Source organism: Homo sapiens, chromosome 6 (assembly GCF_000001405.40).
Source record: "Homo sapiens chromosome 6, GRCh38.p14 Primary Assembly".
Classification (NCBI taxonomy): domain Eukaryota; kingdom Metazoa; phylum Chordata; class Mammalia; order Primates; family Hominidae; genus Homo; species Homo sapiens.
The window spans coordinates 148,498,870-148,518,070 of NC_000006.12; the positions used below are offsets into that span (position 1 = coordinate 148,498,870).

General features: G+C 43.3%; 1 protein-coding gene across 17 annotated transcripts in view, besides 3 other annotated features; it reads left to right on the top strand.

Moving 5' to 3' along the window:
- SASH1 (SAM and SH3 domain containing 1) overlaps positions 1 to 19,201 on the top strand; it is a 358,577-nt gene that overhangs the window by 305,402 nt on the left and 33,974 nt on the right. For 13 of the 17 annotated variants that reach the window (XM_017010599.2, XM_024446384.2, XM_017010600.2 and 10 more), the window contains one exon: positions 15,455 to 15,587. In XM_017010599.2, the coding sequence (XP_016866088.1) occupies positions 15,455 to 15,587 (133 nt within the window). Of the gene's footprint in view, positions 1 to 9,629; positions 10,009 to 10,281; positions 10,469 to 13,375; positions 15,291 to 15,454; positions 15,588 to 19,201 lie in introns of those variants that run through there. The other 4 variants (NM_001346508.2, NM_001346507.2, NM_001346509.2 and 1 more) reach the window with 3 other exon arrangements.
- Positions 14,027 to 14,825: an enhancer, noted in NCBI's record as "H3K27ac-H3K4me1 hESC enhancer chr6:148834032-148834830 (GRCh37/hg19 assembly coordinates)". NCBI's record gives its function as "activates a minimal SCP1, AML or CMV promoter by ChIP-STARR-seq in naive H9 embryonic stem cells {active_cell/tissue: H9 hESC(naive)}" and the evidence as "EXISTENCE:reporter gene assay evidence [ECO:0000049][PMID:30033119]".
- Positions 14,826 to 15,623: an enhancer, noted in NCBI's record as "H3K27ac-H3K4me1 hESC enhancer chr6:148834831-148835628 (GRCh37/hg19 assembly coordinates)". NCBI's record gives its function as "activates a minimal SCP1, AML or CMV promoter by ChIP-STARR-seq in naive H9 embryonic stem cells {active_cell/tissue: H9 hESC(naive)}" and the evidence as "EXISTENCE:reporter gene assay evidence [ECO:0000049][PMID:30033119]".
- Positions 17,958 to 18,458: an enhancer, noted in NCBI's record as "H3K4me1 hESC enhancer chr6:148837963-148838463 (GRCh37/hg19 assembly coordinates)". NCBI's record gives its function as "activates a minimal SCP1, AML or CMV promoter by ChIP-STARR-seq in naive H9 embryonic stem cells {active_cell/tissue: H9 hESC(naive)}" and the evidence as "EXISTENCE:reporter gene assay evidence [ECO:0000049][PMID:30033119]".

The window sequence follows — 19,201 nt, forward strand, 5'->3', positions numbered from 1 at the left end:
CGCCGGTCCTTATTTAATGGATGGGTTGGGGAGATACCCAGGCACTATTGTTATTCGTAAGTAGAATTTAGACTGCGGGCCATCTCCAACCTAAGCCTGCTTATTAGAATCATAGGTTGCCCTTCACTTGTTTTGAGTCCATTTGAATGTTGTCACAATTACCCATTGTATCAAAATTCTTTTTTTTGTTTTTTTTTTTTTTTTTGGAGATGGAGTCTCACTCTGTCGCCCAAGCTGGAGTGCAGTGGCACTATCTCGGCTCACTGCAACAAAATTCTTAGAACGATAGTCAGTCATGAGACAAATCATTTGGAAAGCAATATTTTAACACAACCAAATTTTTTTACAATATAATTTCTATCAAAATATCCTTTTATTCTCTTCTCTATGCCGTTCATCTCCCTCTTTGTACCACACCACACTACTAACTTTCTAATGTTCACTCTAATATTTATTATTAGTATTATGCTAATAGCATCACATAATTAGTTTATAAAAGGATGCAAATCTCTTCTTACACTGAGCATTTGAACCAAAGTGTAGGTTGAAACAATGCCATCTTGAGCATTCTTTCATTTATTTATGTGCAAGCATTTATTGAGTACCCACTATGTGCCAGTCCTTGTACACAGGGAGCTTGGGTTTGAGAAAAGGATTAGATTAATAGATGGCGTGGTTGTGGACTTCATTGAGATTTTCCTGCCTATTGTGATAGGTGCACACAGAAAGTCCAGCAAGCCCCAGCAAAGAGGGTCTGGGAGCCTTCCCAGAGAAGGTGGTTGACACTGAGGAAGAGCTTTCCAGGAGAAGGAGAAATGTGTGTCAGGAGAGGCAGCAGCAAAGTCAGAGGTCTAGATGAAGAGCTGAGTAAATCGGAAAACTTGGGTAATATGAGAAAATTAGGTCAAGTAATATGAAGCATTTCTCTCTCTCAGTATTTTGACTTCTAGGGTATAGATTCTATTCTTTACTTATTTTTATTTATAAATTGGTTCTGTAATAGGTTGTTTCCTTATTTCTGCAAACTTTAAATTTATATAATTTATGTTTTTTATCTTGTCTTTGAGGTCTCATTTAATTGAATTCACGTTCTTATTAAATTATTTTATAGAGAGAAGCAACTATTAGGAATTTCTTCCTGTTCCTTGAGTTGAGATGATGAAGTGATGAGAGCAAAGATTGGCTTTTTGTTTTTATCTATGCTTCTTCTTTTCCCCCTCTCTTTGCCGTAGTTTGTTTGTATAGTTGTCATGTCCTTGGTCCTGTTTGGGTGGCTCTGATCACGTTCTCCATTTGTGCTGATATTGAGGGTTATGTTTTGACCTGTTTGCCATGCTATCTGACAATAGATTTTTTTTTTTTTTCTCCTTTCAAGATACAGTTGAGGGCTTCATTTTGTGGTCCATTTATGTTTGTTGTTGCTACAACCTGGCCATGATATATGGTGAAATGTGGTCTTCATTGGGATAGCTGGACTCTGCCTTTTCTCTCCTGAAACTGTGTTGAATGTGCCGTATCGTAATTGATGCCACCTGGTTCATAGCTGGGGTAATTGGTAGAACATAGCCATTCTGCCTTTCATTCATTTTTTGAATTTTAGAGACTGTATTTCAATCAAGAACAACCTCACTTGACTTTCCATCGTTTCACTCATTGCTCTTCTGTAGCCATTTCCACTGCTGTTAGGTCAGAAAAAGATAAAGAGGTCACACAGTTTCCTTCCAGATTTGGAGTCACATGAAAGGATTCTGTGGATTCCTGCCAGCCTGGCTTTTGTAGAAGTTGTGGGCCTTTTCCAGTGGGCCTCAGAAATTTGTTTCTTACCTTAGTCATGGAGTTTAGTACATTAGATTATGTAGCTTTCTCTCTTTGGTTGCTCTTGGCGCAATATTTTTGCTAGTTTTTAGTGTTTTATTGTTTGTTTGTTTGTTTGTTTTTTCTTCTTGGGGGGCTTTTGCTCATTTTGTTAGTCGTTGTGAGAAGAATATTCTGTGGTTCAGTGTTCAGCAGAGTTCATGACCTGATTGTTTTGCCAATTGGATGACCACAAAGAACCTTTCTAGCTCTAAATAATTCCTCTCTGAAGGTATTTAGTCTAGATTTCTTCAATTTGGAACTTGAAGTAAATTTGCTTATTTATTCTGCAAACAGAAGGAGATTAACGTTAAGGTTGTAGATCGTCAGTCTAGGAGGTAACATTGGACCCTCCTGCCTCCAGCTTCGACAGATGACCACTGACCTGGTGGCATAAGTTTGGCTTGGAGGAATGGTCTTGGTGGTCCCACCTTCCCTCCATTGCCATTTGGCTCCATCAGTTCTCTGTATTTCTACATTGCCATTTGCCTAGACAAGGTTGTTTGGCAGCCCTGTCGGAGAAGTCATCGTGCCTGATACATGAGTCATTCAGCCTAAGATGCCATAAAAGTAATGTGACTTTGCAAACACCACCCAATCCCTTAGGAGACTTACGGCTTCTGGGATGAACACTTTCATCAGCTCCAGAAACTAGCGCCTTAAATGCGTATGTAATTGCCCTACTTGGCAGTCCTGTTCTGAATCATCCTTTTTCCATGGCATGTGAGAATTGGATGCCCTTGGGAATGAGTGGGTTTGGTGTTTTGCTTTAGTCTTCAGTGTGTCTGATCCCATAGATTTGCTCTGGATAACACTACCCCACTCTGAACAGAGGGACCTGTAGAGCTGTAGATTACCTTCCCAACACTTTGTTTCCTAACTCACCTATTTAATATGAAACAATACGTTTCTCTGACCTATGGTCAGGGTGACAAAGCCCCAGGCAGAAATGTCTTCCAAAGATTTACAGAGTGAAGGAGAAGCCAGTCCTCTCGCCTCTACTTACCACTCTCTCCCCCCACCCATTCAGGAGGAAAGGCATTCTCTGCTCTGTGGCAACCTGCAGAATTGGGGTGGGAGGATTCACTTTTGTTTTATGTCTCCCTAGATCTGGCTGTAGGACTCCTGAGATTTTGTATTTTTCTCCCTTCTCCTCATGGGGGCGATTAAAAACGATTCAAAGTTCATGAGTTTAAGAAATAGATTGCAGTTGATTAGGGAACATAACATCCATTTGCTGCTCCTTTGGTTTTATGGTTAAATTTTAAAGCAGTTTCTTAAGTGAATTAAGTGCTGACAAGCCTTTGCCCCAAAGGAATGGTAATATTACCTCAAATTCTCACATACTTTTTCCAAATAAAACTATCATGTAATTATCTTCTTCTCTCTGCCGCCGCCTCCTCCTCCGTCTCTTTCTTCAAATCTGGCAACAACTAGTTAATTTTGAAACTGCCAGAGAGATTATTTCAGTGTTCCACTGTACCTCTGGGAGAAGAATGGAATCTCATCTTTTTTTTTCCATATGCTAACCAAAATCTCCTAATTTCAGAGGGCAATGATGTCACCAGCTAATGAGCAAAATATTTCTTACTAAACAGATGAGTCCTCCCCTGACTCCTTTGTGATAAAAGAAAAAAAAAACTTACCCACAGTGTGTTTCATATTTTCTACTGTTACTTCTAGCAACTCATAAACACACTTTCAAGTAACTCTAACTTATTTGAACAGTGAGACTAATTTTTTTCTAAATACGAAGAATAACACATTAACCTGATGACTGTGACCAAAAGGCCTCTGCCACGGCCCCAGAGTCAGTGCAGTGCCCCTGAGGTAGGGAGGGACTTTCGGTGCTTCACTTTTTGGACCGTGGAGGGAGATCAGGCAGTTGGAGAGATTATGAAATCAAGCTTGGGGAAGAGGAGGGCCGGGAAGCTCCTGTTGACTGGTGTCACATGCTGTTTATAAAAGCAACAACATCAGCTGAGCTCTTCTTTGTCTAGATAGGAGGGCATCTAAGGTTGGGATGGGGTGGGTGGGAGAAGTAGGGCCCCAGGGCCATGTAAATACTGGACTAGGCTCATGTAGGGACATGGAAATATCCCTAAACCCATGGCAGTTTCCTCTTCCCCTCACGGAAGTGTGCCTCAATTTCCTTACCCAGAGATGAGTCTTCCCACATCGGAATTCCTATATCTCTGTGTTTTTCTCTTGCGGTTGTCGCGGTTGACCTTAACATTAATCATATTTCTGAACTTCTCTTGGGGCTGTCCCTACCCTCAGACGTCTAGATGATAACCTTTATAAACCCAGGGAATGCTGGCTTCCTCCTATTGCTATTCCTTGCCTTTCCTAATGCCTTGAATCAGTGCATTCATTCATTTGTTCATTTCAATCAGGAAATATCTGTTTAGCACAAACATAGATATTTATTTATCTAAGTGGAAAAGAATATTGTAATTCTCAGTGTTGGTAACTGCTCCTGAGATTTTAAAACGATACAACATTTTTTCAGAGCAAGTTGTTGATATGTATCAAAAGTCCTAAAGACACACCCTTTTACCCGTCAATTCTACAGTCGAGTCATCTTTCTAAAAAAAAAAAGAATGTGTTAGACATGTTAGAAATTTTACCACAAAGTGTGCATCCAAGGATTATTTGAAAAATTGGAAACAGGCAAATGTCTAATTACGGGGGACCATGATATCAGTAAATTATGGTATACTTTGATGGCTAAATACTACTGCATCATTAATACATTGTATTGTATTGACTATTTCTTGACATGCGAAAATATTCAAAACATACAGCTTTAAAAAATGGGCTATGAAACAGTGTGGCTACGGTGCACACCAGGGGCCTGGGGTTTCTCTAAAGGAAAATCTTTTGAGGCAGCCGTGACCCAGAGAAGGTCCCCACTTACAGGCAAATGTGTTATTTCTACTTAGACTGTGCGTGTGCATTTGAGGGAGGATTTGGGGACACTGATAGTGACTAGAGGAGTTGGAGGAGGTAAAGATCAAAGATAACCCTTTCTTGTAAAAAAAAAAAAAAGAAACATACAGAAACATCAGGGTGTATTTTGTGTGTGCATGTGCATATGTGTGTGTATGGGGAAAAAGTGGGAAGGCATAAACCAAAATATTACCAAGTTTTCTGAGTATGGGATGATACGTCATTTCTCTTACTACTTTGTGCATTTTTGCATTCTCCAAATTTTTAATAATATATGTCATGTGTAGTCAGAAACAATAAATGCTACTAACATACAGATGTGGAAATGAATATGGTCATGTACATTGTCTGCATGACAGTTAGTGATGGGCTAGGGAATCTAGCAATGCCAATATATGTGTGAAGTCCTTGGATAAAGTATCTTTAGTCTAAGGTAGATGAGGAGCAAAGCCAGGAGAGCTTTCCAGAGGAGGCAATATGCAGACTGAAACTTGAAGGATGCATAGGAGTTAGGGGTGTGGATGCAATCAGCAGAGCTGTTTGCAGAAGATGAGCCATCAGGGCAGTGATGGGCATGGGGTGTTTGAGATGCTGCAAGGAAGCAGGGGGTGAGACCGGGTGCTCTGGTGCCCTTTCTACCACGTGGTATCTGAAGAGTGGAGCACAATGTACCAGAAACTGAATCTGACCGCACACAGTCACATATTCCACTATAAGGCCTTTGGACCTTGTTCCAAGGAGCTAATGAGGACCAATTCCTCACCATAGGAGTCAAATACTGAAGTCCCTTCTCAGCAAATTTGCACATCTACTGTGTTCAAGCCCGCCACCCAGAGAACAGGACCAGCAGTGGCCTTCCCTCACAAAGTCTATCTCCCAATCTGTCCCTCACCAGGGAGCTTCCTAGGGTGGCCTGGCTCAGTCTAGTCTTCCAAATATCCCCCAGTTTACTCTGACACATGGCCAGGGCTGAGAGCCACAGGGCTGGGGAGTCTCAACTTCTTCATTCCACAGTGATCGCACCAGTATTTATGGGTGGGCACTAGGAATGCAAGGAGCAGGAGATCAGACAAGGCTCCTGGCCCGGGGAGCCTCCTGTTTTCTGAAAGTCAAGCCATGGTACGTCCTCACAAAGGGCCCAACATCGAGTATCTTGATAAATACCTGAATGACTCCCTGAGAGGCGTGGCAGTGAGGTTAAAAAGGGGTGGACAAGGTCGGCTCTCTCTCCCATCCTCTTAGGACACTCTCCAAGTCCTGTGCTGTGAGGAGAGGCCGCTCAGGGGAAGTACTGGGGATGTATCCTTCCCGCCACCCTCCCCAAAGTATCTGGATAAATCAGTGCATGAACTTCATGTGTATTTCACATGGAACGAGGGCTTCCTTACCTGCCAAGCTCTAGACTTCACATTCAAGGTCTCATTTTATCCTCTAGAGAGCCCTAGGAGGCTTCTCACTGCCTATCTTAGAAATGAGAGAAGAAACATGCCCACAGCCACAGGCTCTTCCCATGTGGCACAGAGGGGATCTGAACCTGCATTGGCTCAGAGTCTTCTCTATATCTGAACAGCCTGTCCAGAACCAGCCTCAGATGCTGGCCATATGACAAGCTTTCACACGTAAAAAGGTTGTTGGTTTTTTCTGTTTTTGTTTTTTGAGATGGAGTCTTGCTCTGTCACCCAGGCTGGAGTGCAGTGGCACGATTTCGGCTCAGTGCAGCCACTGCCTCCCAGGTTCAAGCGATTCTTGTGTCTCAGCCTCCTGAGTAGCTGGGATTACAGATGTGCACTATGCCTGACTAATTTTTGTATTTTTAGTAGAGACCATGTTTCACCATGTTGGCCAGGCTGGTCTTGAACTCCTGGCCTCAAGTGATCTGCCTGCCTTGGCCTCCCAAAGTGCTGGGATTACAGGCATGAGCCACTGTGCCTGGCTGGTTGTTGGGTTTTTTTGTTGTTGTTTTTTTTTTTCTTTTTTCTTTTTGGAGATAGAGTGTCGCTCTGTCACCCAGGCGTGCAGTGGCATGATCTCAGCTCACTGCAACCTCTGCCTCCCAGGTTCAAGCAATTCTCCTGCTTCAGCCCCCTGGGTAGCTGGGATTACAGGCATGTGCCACCACACATGGCTAATTTCTGTATTTTTAGTAGAGACGGGGTTTCACCATGTTGTTCAGGCTGGTCTCGAACTCCTGACCTCGTGATCCGCCCACCTTGGCTTCCCAAAGTGCTGGGATTACAGGTGTGAGCCACCGCGCCCAGCTAATTTCTGTATTTTTAGTAGAGACGGGGTTTCACTGTGTTAGCCAGGATGGTCTCGATCTCCTGAGCTCGTGATCTGCCCACCTCGGCCTCCCAAAGTGCTGGGATTACAGGCGTGAGCCACCACGCCCGGCCTGGTTGTTGGGTTTTTAAGTGGTCTTTGCTATTTACACAGCACCTAAAAGAACAGTTTGTGAAAATTAGGTGTTATTTGAACTCCAGTGAGTTATGAATAGAAGACTGCAGAGTTAATAATAAGGCTGGGCTTGGTGGCTCACGCCTGTAGTCCCAGCACTTTGGGAGGCCAAGGCAGGCAGATCATCTGAGGTTAGGAGTTTTGAGACTAGCCTGGCCAACATGGTGAAACCCCATCTCTACTAAAAATACAAAAATTAGCTGGGCATACTGGCGGGTGCCTGTAATCCCAGCTACTTGGGAGACTGAGGCAGGAGGATTGCTTGAACCCGGGAGGTGGAGGTTGCAGTGAGCTGAGACCAAGCCATTGTACTCCAGCCTGGGCAACAGAGCAAAACTCCATCTCAAATAATAATATTAATAGTAATAGTAAAAATATTAAGTCCTTATTGAACTCCAGTTCAGTAAGGATTTCAGGTACGCAGTATTTAATACAACCACAACGTAAGAAAAGTGCTACTATACCACATTTATGTGCAGGAATATTAAGACCCATAAAAGTAAAGTGATTTGCTAGAGAACTTGGTAATTAAACCCAGGTTTTTCTAACCCCTGAGACCTTGGGCTAATCCTCTTCCCTTTACCCCAGTCTCACTGGGGCACTCTCATTTTCTTCGTTTTTATCCTGTAACGAAGGAATTTGGTGGAAAATGTCTACACTCAGTTTTAAGGAACTGTGAGCATAACTTTGCAGCATAGTTGTCAGTCTTGGATGAAGAAAGGTCTTGTTGAGGTAGGGTAGTGGCACAGGAGCAAAACCATACAGTCTCAGATTCTGCCCCTGCCATTGCTGTGAAATGGGGTCTGTATGCAAATGTTTAGCACAGTGCCTGGGAATGCTAAGCTTTGGACAAATACAAGTGTTGGAAGTACAACATCGCAAAAGCACCTGGTCCGTCAGATGGTGGCAGGGGAAGGGGAGTTTGTGGGAGAATCAGTTTGTGAAATGGGGAATTGGGCAGTGTAGGGAAGGTGTGGTGAACCCTTGCAGGAGAAAGAAGAGGAAATTCAATAAAGGTTGGGAGGAGATACTTCTGAGCAGAAGACAGAGTGGGAGAAGGGAGTTTAATTCTTGGCAAGGAGTGAGAGACGCCAGCCCGCCCAGGGAAGAAGAGCAGGACAAGAGCCGAGGAAAAGGGGATGGAGCTCTGGTGATCTGATGCAGAACCCGCAATGTGTGCGTGGTAAAACATGACCCTCCACTTGGGAGCTTCGTATTCCAATTCCCTTTTGTTGTTGTTGTTGTTGTTGTTGTTGTTTGAGATGGAGTCTCGCTCTGTCGCCCAAGCTGGAGTGCAGTCAGGCGATCTTGGCTCACTGCAGCCTCTGCCTCCCGGACTCAATTTATCCTCCTATCCCAGCCTCCTGAGTAGCTGGGATTACCGGTGTATGCCACCACGCCTGACTAAGTTTTGTAGTTTTAGTAGAGACGGGTTTTCACCATGTTTCCCAGGCTGGTCTCGAACTCCTGGCCTCAAGTGATCTGCCCGCCTCCGTTGGAATTACAGGCGTGAGCCACTGTGCCTGGCCGTTTTTAGTTTAGGTAACCTCTGAATCCTGTCCAACTCTAAACTTCTGCCATTTTAAGGAGGGACAGTGGTTCCTACGCATCCCTGAGTCCTGTGTAGCTAGGTATTTTATGTCGTGTGATGTCCTATAAAGAGCATTATACATGAAGACTCACCCAACAGGAGGGACATCTAGAAACAAGCAACTCACATTGTGCTGTGAGAATAAATGACTTACCCAAGTGAATGAACTTAGCCCTGAAAAGACAAACGTGACTTGCAGCCCACGTCATGGAGACTTTGTGTGGGTTTTTAGTCCTGTGTTGTTTAGATGATGTTCTTTTTAAGTAACAGCATGTGCCTAGTGGCTCCCCTGAGGTCCTTGAGAAAATTAAATAATCATCTTGTGACACGGTCCTCATGCTCACGTTTCTAGAATGCAGGAGAACTCGGATGCTCTGAAATGGGCATTAAAACAATTTGTTAAGAGAGCTTTAGAAGCACCAATGAAGGGGAAATATCCTACATTTACCCTGGTTGTTAAAATTTTAAAAAGGAATGGGGAGAGAGAGAGAAAGTGACAACTCTAGGAGAAAACCACAATCATAAGTTTTAATTCAGTAATTTCAAAAATAGCCATTGGAAGGTGTCTATTTTCAATTGAGACTGCTCCCTTAAGGGGGTGTTCAGAAGAATGTCTGAAAAAGAGATCTTTTTTTAAGTTCAGTCACTTTTAAGGGTTAGTCCTTGTCCTCCTTGTCCTGGATTTGCTCAGATTCTCGCGTTCTTTTTTCTGTCTCTGGAATTCCATAGACAGTAATTAAGGAACTGGAGGCCAGCAGGAGGTCAGGGAGCCTTCCTCAGTGAAAACAGGGATTGTTGGCCATGCACAACACTCCCTTTTTTCCTTGTGGTGAATAGGAGATTTGCTTAGAGCTGATGACTTATGCCTTTCTTGCGAGTTATGCAGTTAGCAAGCGACTGGGGAATCAGTCAGCAAGCAGAAAGAAGCTAATTGAATCCAGTGTCTTCCCCTTTCTCCTTCGGATACTGAGCTGTGACGGTGGAGCCTGCCTGATCATGTAACTCCAGAGAGACATGTTCCAGGAGTGCCTAATCTTAATTTTGAGATTGCGGAGTTTGATGCTACAAGAGTGAAGACGCTCTCCGAGTGGGGAGGGGGGTGGGAGGTACAGGACGTCTTCAGAATTACCCCTTAGGCTTGCTAAATGCCGAAGCCGGTAAGTCACTGAATGCGTTCAATGGGAAAGAAAGAATGTGTTTTCTGTTGCTTCAAGTAAAAGTTTTTGCTGCTCCTGCCTATGATGTTTCTCTCTCTTTTCTTCTTAAATTCCTCTAGATTTGTCCTTCTTCGCCTGTTTACTTCCCTACCTGGTAACCCTGAGCATTTTTGCCTGGCATTTTCACCAGTGAAAATGCGTAACTTTTAGAGAATAGTGAGTATTGTTTTGAGAATTTGAGACAATGAGCATATATGGCTCAGCTGTGAATTGTGGAGGCTTTTCCTGGGGAGGACTTGAATTCAGACAGTGTTGCACATTGCTTTTCATAAGCTTATATCTGATTGGCTTCCTTCTCTTAAGTTTAAGATTAACGCTGTGACACAGCCGACCTAGAAAGCTGAAGTATGTATGTCTAATCATGCGCTAGGTTAGAGAGACCAGTGTGTGAATTTCACAGGCAAGTACATTTCCAGTTTCAAATTGCTTTTCAGAAATGTTTAAATATCTCTCGGTGTTACGTGGCGCTGGGGGAGATGAGTGGGCTTAGTCTGGGTGTTAATTGTGACAGCGTGTCGTGTGTTTCGAGCTAGGGAAACAAGCTGAGTGAAAGTGCTTCTGCAGAGGGCACAGTTGTAATCCTGTGATCAGCGTGGTGGTCTCAAGCGGTCCTCCAAAGGGTCTAGTTGCTCCTTGCAAATTGGTTTTAACCTTTATTACAGCATATTGCCATTGTGCTTGCACAACTGTGCCATATGGCTTTTGGAAAGGATTTGTTCTGCACACTGCAGTCCCAAGAACTGTTTGTTACAGGGTCCGGTGAAGTATCTGTTACCGACCAGCAGTGACAGGTTTACTTGGAGCAGGGAGAGGATGCATTTAGTGAGCTCCGGCACACAAATGTTTGTACTCACAGATGCTATTCATTTTGTTCCTTTTTTCTGATCATCCAGCGTGTAGCTGTGTTATAAAAAGTTCTCCACGCTGGCTCCATGTCTTTCCTATTAGAACATTGCAGATGTGTCAAGGATGCACTTGTTCCAAAAGAAGCTGGGAAGGAAGGAGGCTCCACCCTCCTCCGGGTGCCAGACGGGCCCCATAGGTTCCTCATTCAGTGGCCTGGCCGGCAAATGGTGTGCTATCTCTTTAAAGCAGCTATAGTTTTGTGTCTTGGCTTGGTCAATTTGTTATGGTTTAAAACTGTGGAGCCAGCTGTCTGCAATCTGATGTAATGTTGCTATGGAAACCAGAAATGAAACACTTAAGCATTCACCACAGAATTACTACATATAGCATTAGCCAAAGTAATTAAAAGTTGAGCCATATGGGCTTTCTGCTGGAAAAAAATCTGCAGAGGAGAGGCTGGAAATCAAATGTTTCTGTTTACAATATTGGAAATCCACTTTTCCACAATTTTTGGTGGGATAAGTTGCCTTTTTCTCTTGAAGGTTTTCTGGTGAGGAGCTGTCATACAGATGATTGAGTTCACCTTCTCACTGAGAAGATGATCTGTTTAACTCTGACCCAGGGTGGGACAAGGGAGGGGAGGCCACACTATCTCATGTTTGAATGTGTGTGAATATATACTTTTATTTTTTAACTTTAGTTTAAAACCTGTTCTATAACAGTGCTGAACCTATTTCTTAGAATCAGTCATTTATTTTATATACAATGCAGATTTCCTCTATCTTCTACGAAGTTTTTCACATAGGAAGATTTCTTTTAAAATATACATAGTATTTGAATTTAAAAATTATATATTTTTTATGTTTATAAATATAAAAATTCTCAAGCCCCCATCCCTGGTGGTGTATTTCCTGAATAAAAAGACATGCTGGCCAGCCATGGTGGTTCATGCCTGTAATCCCAGCACTTTGAGAGGCTGAGGCGGGCAGATTACCTGAGAGTCAGGAGTTCAAGACCAGCCTGGCCAACATGGCGAAATGCCATCTCTACAAAAATACAAAAATTAGCTGGGTATGGTGGTGTGTGCCTGTAATCCCAGCTACTCGGGAGGCTGAGGCTGGAGAATCGCTTGAACTCAGGACGCAGAGGTTGCAGTGAGCTGAGATCGCACCACTGCACCCCAGCCTGGGAGACAGAGCGAGACTCCATCTCAAAAAAAAAAAAAAAAAAGAAAGACATGCTGTGTTATTTTCAGCATTTGGGAAGTGGAATATACTTAAAAAGAGAAATATGACATGAGGAATTCAAGATTTACTCTCCAGTTTAGAAGAAATGCAAGCCTTTTACAGCGTTTTTGTGTTAAAACAGCTGGAGAGAATTTTTTAAAGGCAAATATTTCACAACGCTTTTTTCCTCTGGACTCAGTAGGAAGTGAGAAGTCAACACCTCTCCATCAATATCATGGATGCAGCAATACATTCTTGGGATAGGTTGTTGAACTCAAGTAACTTCTAGGCTGACTTCTAGGTTAATTTTCTATTACACACACACACACACACACACACACACACACACACACACACACACACACCTTGGATGACCTGGATTTTATATTGCATTTTTCTTCGTATAAATTGTGCCGCATCTATCTTGTCTAGCGTCCAAAAAATGATCATGGAAAAGAAGGACTTGGTTGCCATGGTTTGTGATTTGTCAGTGACAAACACCTCCAAATCTTGATTTTTCTAGAAAAATAAAAATAGCATTAATTCAAAGGTACAAAGAAGTATAATTCAAAGGTATAATTCAAAGGTGTGTTTCTCAAAAATAAATGGAACATGTGAAAACAATTAAATAAGTACCTGGAATATGTTACTTTTTGCCACAGTGAATCTGGGCAGAGGAAAGTAGGATTTTATGAGGAAGGCATTGCCTTTAAATCTACTGTCCTTGTTTAACTATTTTGATTTCTCCTTGGAAAGTTCACTCTAGTACATATAATGATTTGTGTCTTTGTGGACTAAAATTTTTGTATTAGTTTTTTCTATACCCCATTTCTCTTACTGCCCACTGTCCCATGCATACACACACCCACACCACCACCACCAACCAGCAAACTAGGTATGAGGTATACACATCAGTAATTTTCATCCTGTAACACAGCTTCTTGTATTTTGATTACAAACAATCTGTACCTATTTCATTTTCATTTGATTTCAACATTTATTTATTTATTTATTTATTTATTTTTTTGAGACAGAGTCTCGCTCTGTCGCCCAGGCTGGAGTGCAGTGGCACGATCCCGGCTCCCTGCAAGCTCCGCCTCCTGGGTTCACGCCATTCTTCTGCCTCAGCCTCCTGAGTAGCTGGGACTACAGGCACCCGCCACCACGCCCAGCTAATTTTTTGTATTTTTAGTAGAGACGGGGTTTCACCGTGTTAGCCGGGATGGTCTCAATCACCTGACCTCGTGATCCTCCCACCTCGGCCTCCCAAAGTGCTGATTTCAACATTTTTAAATGTGAGGATTAGAGACATATTCTAGGTTTGTCCCGTTGATAGTTATAGAGACTTTCTATAACATAATGTTGATTCTTCTTCTATTAGAATTGCTTGGCTTTTGAGCTACATCAAGAGAGCAGAATGTTTTTAAATGTTTATATGTAATTCCATGAACTGTGGGTTTTTCAGGTGCTTGTTACCCAGAATGAGGGTTAACCAAGTTCTCATTCCTCTGGTTGACCGCTCCAACCATTTCATCACATGTCAACAATCCAACCAAGTAGAAATGAAACTCAAACCAGACAAAACCATTTTGTATTATGAACTACACTTATTATTCTAATTTTTTATATTTTTAGTTTTAAGCCTAATTGTCAGCATCCAGTGTAGCCTGTCCCCACCGTTACCTGGGAGTCCAGTTCCCATTCTTTATTACTAGGTAACCAGTACTTAGCTTTAATTCTGACACTTGCAGGCAACATTTTATCTAGTAATTTTAGAGAAATTGGACATAGATATTAATACACTTTACAGAAGAGAAGTCTGAGAAACACTTCTGTCCTGATGACTTGCTGATGTTAGGTTTATAGTTAACCATAAGTGGGTAAACGGTTTGCTGATAGTCATACAGGGAGAAAGTACCATGGCTCCATGCCTTGAGTTCCAGGGTGAGGACAGAGGCCAGGACATCAGTTGTTTATATCCCTTACTATCCTTGTACTAATGTTCGTGCCATAGTGCAAAGAGGACTCACAACGTGCACCATTTTTATGCCTAAATAATGCATAGAAACTCTACTTCTTCTTCTCTTGAGGTATTCTCTGCAACTCTTGCTTATCTGTTTTATTGTCTGTAACACTGGGATTAGTGAGAGCTTTTCTTTGGGAGAAAAGTCTCTACATTAGATTTGTATTCAGAGATGAGGCTTGTTTTTGTTTTGTGTGTTCATTTGAGGCATTTATCTTCCTACTGTTCCATGAACTGGGTTGGAGGAAATGGAGAGAAGGTTGTTGTCAGGGCGTGCGACGTGAGCTGGAATTGCTCACCCACTGCACAGGGTGTGCCGAGGCGGCTGCTCCCAGGCATGCCCACGCACCCGTGTTGCACACTCGTTTAGTCAGAGATCTCTTATGCTGTTTCACATTTTGAACAGATACAACAGAGGAAGCTGCATATTGGATGTTGGAGCTGACTTAGAAATGAAACCCTCATTTTGTTCACAAGGGAAGGATTGTTTTTAGCCTGGGTCACTGCTGCAGAGAGAGATATTTTTCCCTCTCTCTGTAATGTTTGATACTTGAGGGAAAACAGCTGGGCCTGAGCATGCTGACTCCCTGCAAAGTGCAATGGGCTGCTGGGGAATATGGACTGTACTGTATGGCTGAAAGGTCAGCTTTTTCCCTTGTCTCTCTTGGAGGAATGCAGGGTCTGTCCTCACATTCGCCTTGTGAGCCCTTAGAAGGAGCCGGGAGAGGCGGAAGGGCTGGCTGCAATGTGGCAGACAGTCTTAGCCAATGGGATGGAAGAGGCTGTTTGCATCTCTTTCCCTTTCCTGCCCTGCTGTTTTTGATTTTCGGGGGAGGGCTGGAAAAAGCCAACAGAATTTTGGTTTGGAGAAGTAGTTGATGACCACGTTAAACAGCAAGCCCTGATGGGCCAGACAGATGAGAGCCTGGCCCAAACCACAGCAGTGAAACTGGAATTACAGGGCCAGCATCGGAGGGAGAGTCCTGCTGGAGTCCTCCTAAGAGAGGACAAGGAAGTAGTTGAGACAGATGCCCCCACAGGCCACTTGCCCCCACTTGCCCTTGAGGGCAAGGATGTGTGTTTCCGTGCCTAGGACCTAATTCTACGCCGATTTAGATCTTAAGATGGTATGTGGCACTTTGTAAACCTCTTGGGCAAATTTTTGTTGGTTCCCAAGTTCAGCAACAGAGCTGCCGAGGTTCAGACTGGCAGCAAGGCCGGCTACATCCAGCCACACGGGCAAAGCTCGGAGCAATTACCTGATTAACTTTTTCCTTTGTTTCTTTGCCAGTCAAGAGAACAATCGGATGATGAGACTGAGGAGTCGGTGAAGTTTAAGAGGTTACACAAGCTGGTAAACTCCACTCGCAGAGTCAGAAAGAAACTAATTAGGGTGGAAGAAATGAAAAAACCCAGCACTGAAGGTAAAAAAAAAAAAAAAAAAAAAAAAAAAAGGCAGACTCCACCCTGGTTATTCCAAAAGAAATCATTTGGGGTCAGTTTCTCAGCAGAAAAGGGATACGATTTCAAGTGGAAAATGCATTGAGCTCTGGCTGAATCTGGCAGGACTATGCCTGCCAGCAGAGTGATGCTCAGATGCGATGATGTGATGGAATGAAGGGTCCTGGTGTCAGGCGTTTGGGGTGCTTAGTCATTTCAATTTAAAAGATGGGAAATGGAAATTTTCTCGAGGTGTAGTATAGCTTTATGTATGAGCTTATACCATTTTATATAAACTTTCTAACTTTTTCACATGAGCCTCCAATCCCAGAAAGGACTATGGTTCTTGCTCAGTGAATTTAGTTCAAATTTCATGTACATACATTTTGAAGAAATGCCTAACAATCAAGGCACCTAATATCCCTTTAAATTTCTCAGGGTTGATTTGTTCTTCCTGTAGAGAGTCTCAAGTCTCAATTCAAATGGGGGCTTTAAGGACCTAGGATTCTAAGAGAATCTTTTAAGAGTTGTATTGCTGGGGTTAGCCAGGTGAAACAGTAATGTCAAAAGACATCAGCTTGGATTTATTGAAATGGATAGTTAGCCTTTGACATATAATTATGACAGTTCAAATCTCAACCTTATTCATCTCTCTTGTTAGTAATGTGCCTCTTTGCAGCATCTTATAAATTCTCCCCAAAAAGGTAAAATGAAAGAATAAGATAAGATTTTTTCTGTTTGAAAAATGAAAATAATTGAATTGGATAAAAATACTGGAAAGACTATGCTTTTTAAAAAACACCTTACTTGTTAAAATGTCATATCTACATTGTGAGGAATTTCAAAATTTTAACATGTAGGTTTTAAAATTATTTTTGTAGAGGCATTTTTGTTATATAGAAATAAAATCAAGCCATGTAAAGAAATGAATTTCCCCTTATTTGCAAAGATAAGGGTTTTTCGTTTTTATTGCTGCTTTTAATTTGTGTTTGGTATTATTCGTGGGTTTAAATCCCTTAGAATAATACCGAAGCTAAGTGGGTAACTGTGAGAGAATGGGGATTCGAATGGAAAACAAAAACATGGGGAGAGAAATCAGCTTTGTGGCCAATTTCTTGGGTTGTTTTCAGTTCCGGGGTTTCATTAGGGTATCTTTTTGCGTGGTAATTCTGTTTACATTTGGATGCAATGCTGATTTTACATTTGGGTGTTTTAATACCTGCCCGCCAGTCGTGAATTCCACAGTATTGAATGTACCCTGTGGCGGCCCTTACCGAAATCACAGACAGGGTCAGTTGGTACTGTTGGGGGAACCATATGGAATTGCCAACATTCAACTTTAAGGGCACATTTGGTAACAAATCTCATGAACACTCGGCCAAAATCAAGCCTCAGATATAACAAATAGATGGGTGGGGTTCATCCATAACTGAGATAACATGGGCAAAGTATCTAGTCCTGGGCCTGTTCCCCAGTGGGCCCTTCACACATGATAGTGGTGTGTTAAAGCAGCCTTTCCACTAGAATAACATGACTAAAAATACAGACATTGTAATTTGCACATTTATTTCAGAATAAATCAATCCAACTATCTTTGAGAGGCATCAATGGAAAAGGAAAAATATAGCAAAAGGGATAACTCTAACGTAAAAAGTAATAACCATATGGAATTCTGGCTCTGAACTTTAATTTATCTGGGCACAAATCAGGCTTCACAGATGGAAGATGGATTTAGTGAACTCAAATCCTAAGGTACACTCTGGCATCTGATGAGTCAGGGTGCTGAGTTGCCGTTGGCCAATCTCACCCATCTTCTCAGGAGAGGCCCCAGGTGTGTGTGTGTAGCTCAAGGCGCCTGCTTTGGGCTGCCCTCCAATTCCCTGCTAAACTGGAACTTCCTCCAACCCCTGCACAATAGAGAACTCTCTGAGGGTCCTCACTGGCAGTGGTACTTGGGAGAGGCTATCTTGGCCCCTGTCCATCTTGCAGAGCAGGAAGGATTCATACGCCAGTAGGCGCCCCCTCCCCCCTCCCCCCTCCCCCGCCCTTGGACTTACAAAGGGTTGATCCTTTGACTTCCTGCGTGCCTGTGCTAATACCAAGTTGTCTGCATGATAATCATCATGTATTGAGGGCACACCGTGTGCCAGGCACTTTCCTTAACACTTTAGATTTTATATTCTCTTTAATGTCATCCTCAGAATAGCTACCAGAAGTAAGCACTTACACCATCCTCATTTCGAAAATGAGGAACCTGAGACTCAAAGAGGCTAAAAGTAATTGACTCCTGGCCACTCAGCCAGCCAGCAGAAGGCCCAGCACGATGTCCAGGCAGCCTGCTCCCTGACAGCAGCCTGTTCTCACTCCGCTGCCACCTGTCTCCCCCACCAGCTCTGGAGTCCTCGGAAAGCCAGGAGAGAGATCAGTTCTTCATTCATTCTCACCCTTGCACCCTGGGTTTCAAGTCCTTATCCTGTCAGGGACAACCCTGGCCAATCTTTAACCTAGGCTACATTGGTGCCCTTTATCTGCCCATTTCTGTGTCTTTGCCACAGAATGCACACCTTTCCTTCCCTCATTGCTCCCACTCAGTTCTCTCCAGTAATGAATCGCCAGTTTTGTAGAAAGCCTTTCAGTTCATACAGCACTTTCACGTAACTCTTTTATGAGGATAATGTTTACTGTTATCATCACAACAGCCTTGCCAGGGGTATTATGGAAAGATAGGTAGGCATTATTACAGATGAGGAAACAGAGGCTCAGAGCCAGGAAGTAATTGCCCAAGGTCATGGAGCTGTGAGTGGCAGAGCCGGGCTGGATGCAGAGCATACCCCTGAGTTCCTGGCATTAAGTCAGCCCACAGCCTACCTCTCTCCTCCTGCCAAAATCACCTTGCCTTTGGTAAGCCGGTCTCAGCTGAATAAGATAGATGATGGAGGCCTTCACGTGAAGCAAATCACAGCAAATGTGATGGAGTGAGCTCATCTTGATGGTCACTCTTCCAGTAGGGGAGTTGTACGCTCAAGTCAGAGAAGGATGGGAGAAGCGATGCTCCAAGTTCAAGCCATCCAGGTCAAGGTTGGGATTCCAAGCCACTGGTCAGGCTCAGACGGAAAAGCCCGCACTACAGGAGGCCTGCCCTCAGCACCGGCAGATGCAGCCTCCTGGGAAGCGTTTGCTACATTTCCCTCACAACCCCTTACCAGATGCTGACTTTCCTGAACCCGAGAATAGAGCTACATTCGTCATGGACATGCGTGCACCAGCTGGTTCCAGACTCAGATGTGACACCAAAGTATTGGAATCTCTGACAACAATCCTAAGCACAGAGCCCAGAAAATGTCCAAAGCAACTGCTGAGTGACAGATCCTTAGGATACGCAGGGTGGACTCACCTGACTTCCCTGAAACCCCTTAGGACTGTGGGTGGAGAAGGGCCTTTGTACATCTGCGTGGACACCTGGGCGGATGGTGAAGCCACAACCACGCTCGACTTCTTTAATAGAGAAGTCCATGGTTGGGCTGCCCCTGCCACAGGTTGTGCCTCTAGTCTTAGCCCAGTCGCTTCTTCTTGGAAGTGGAGGGTAGACTATAACTAG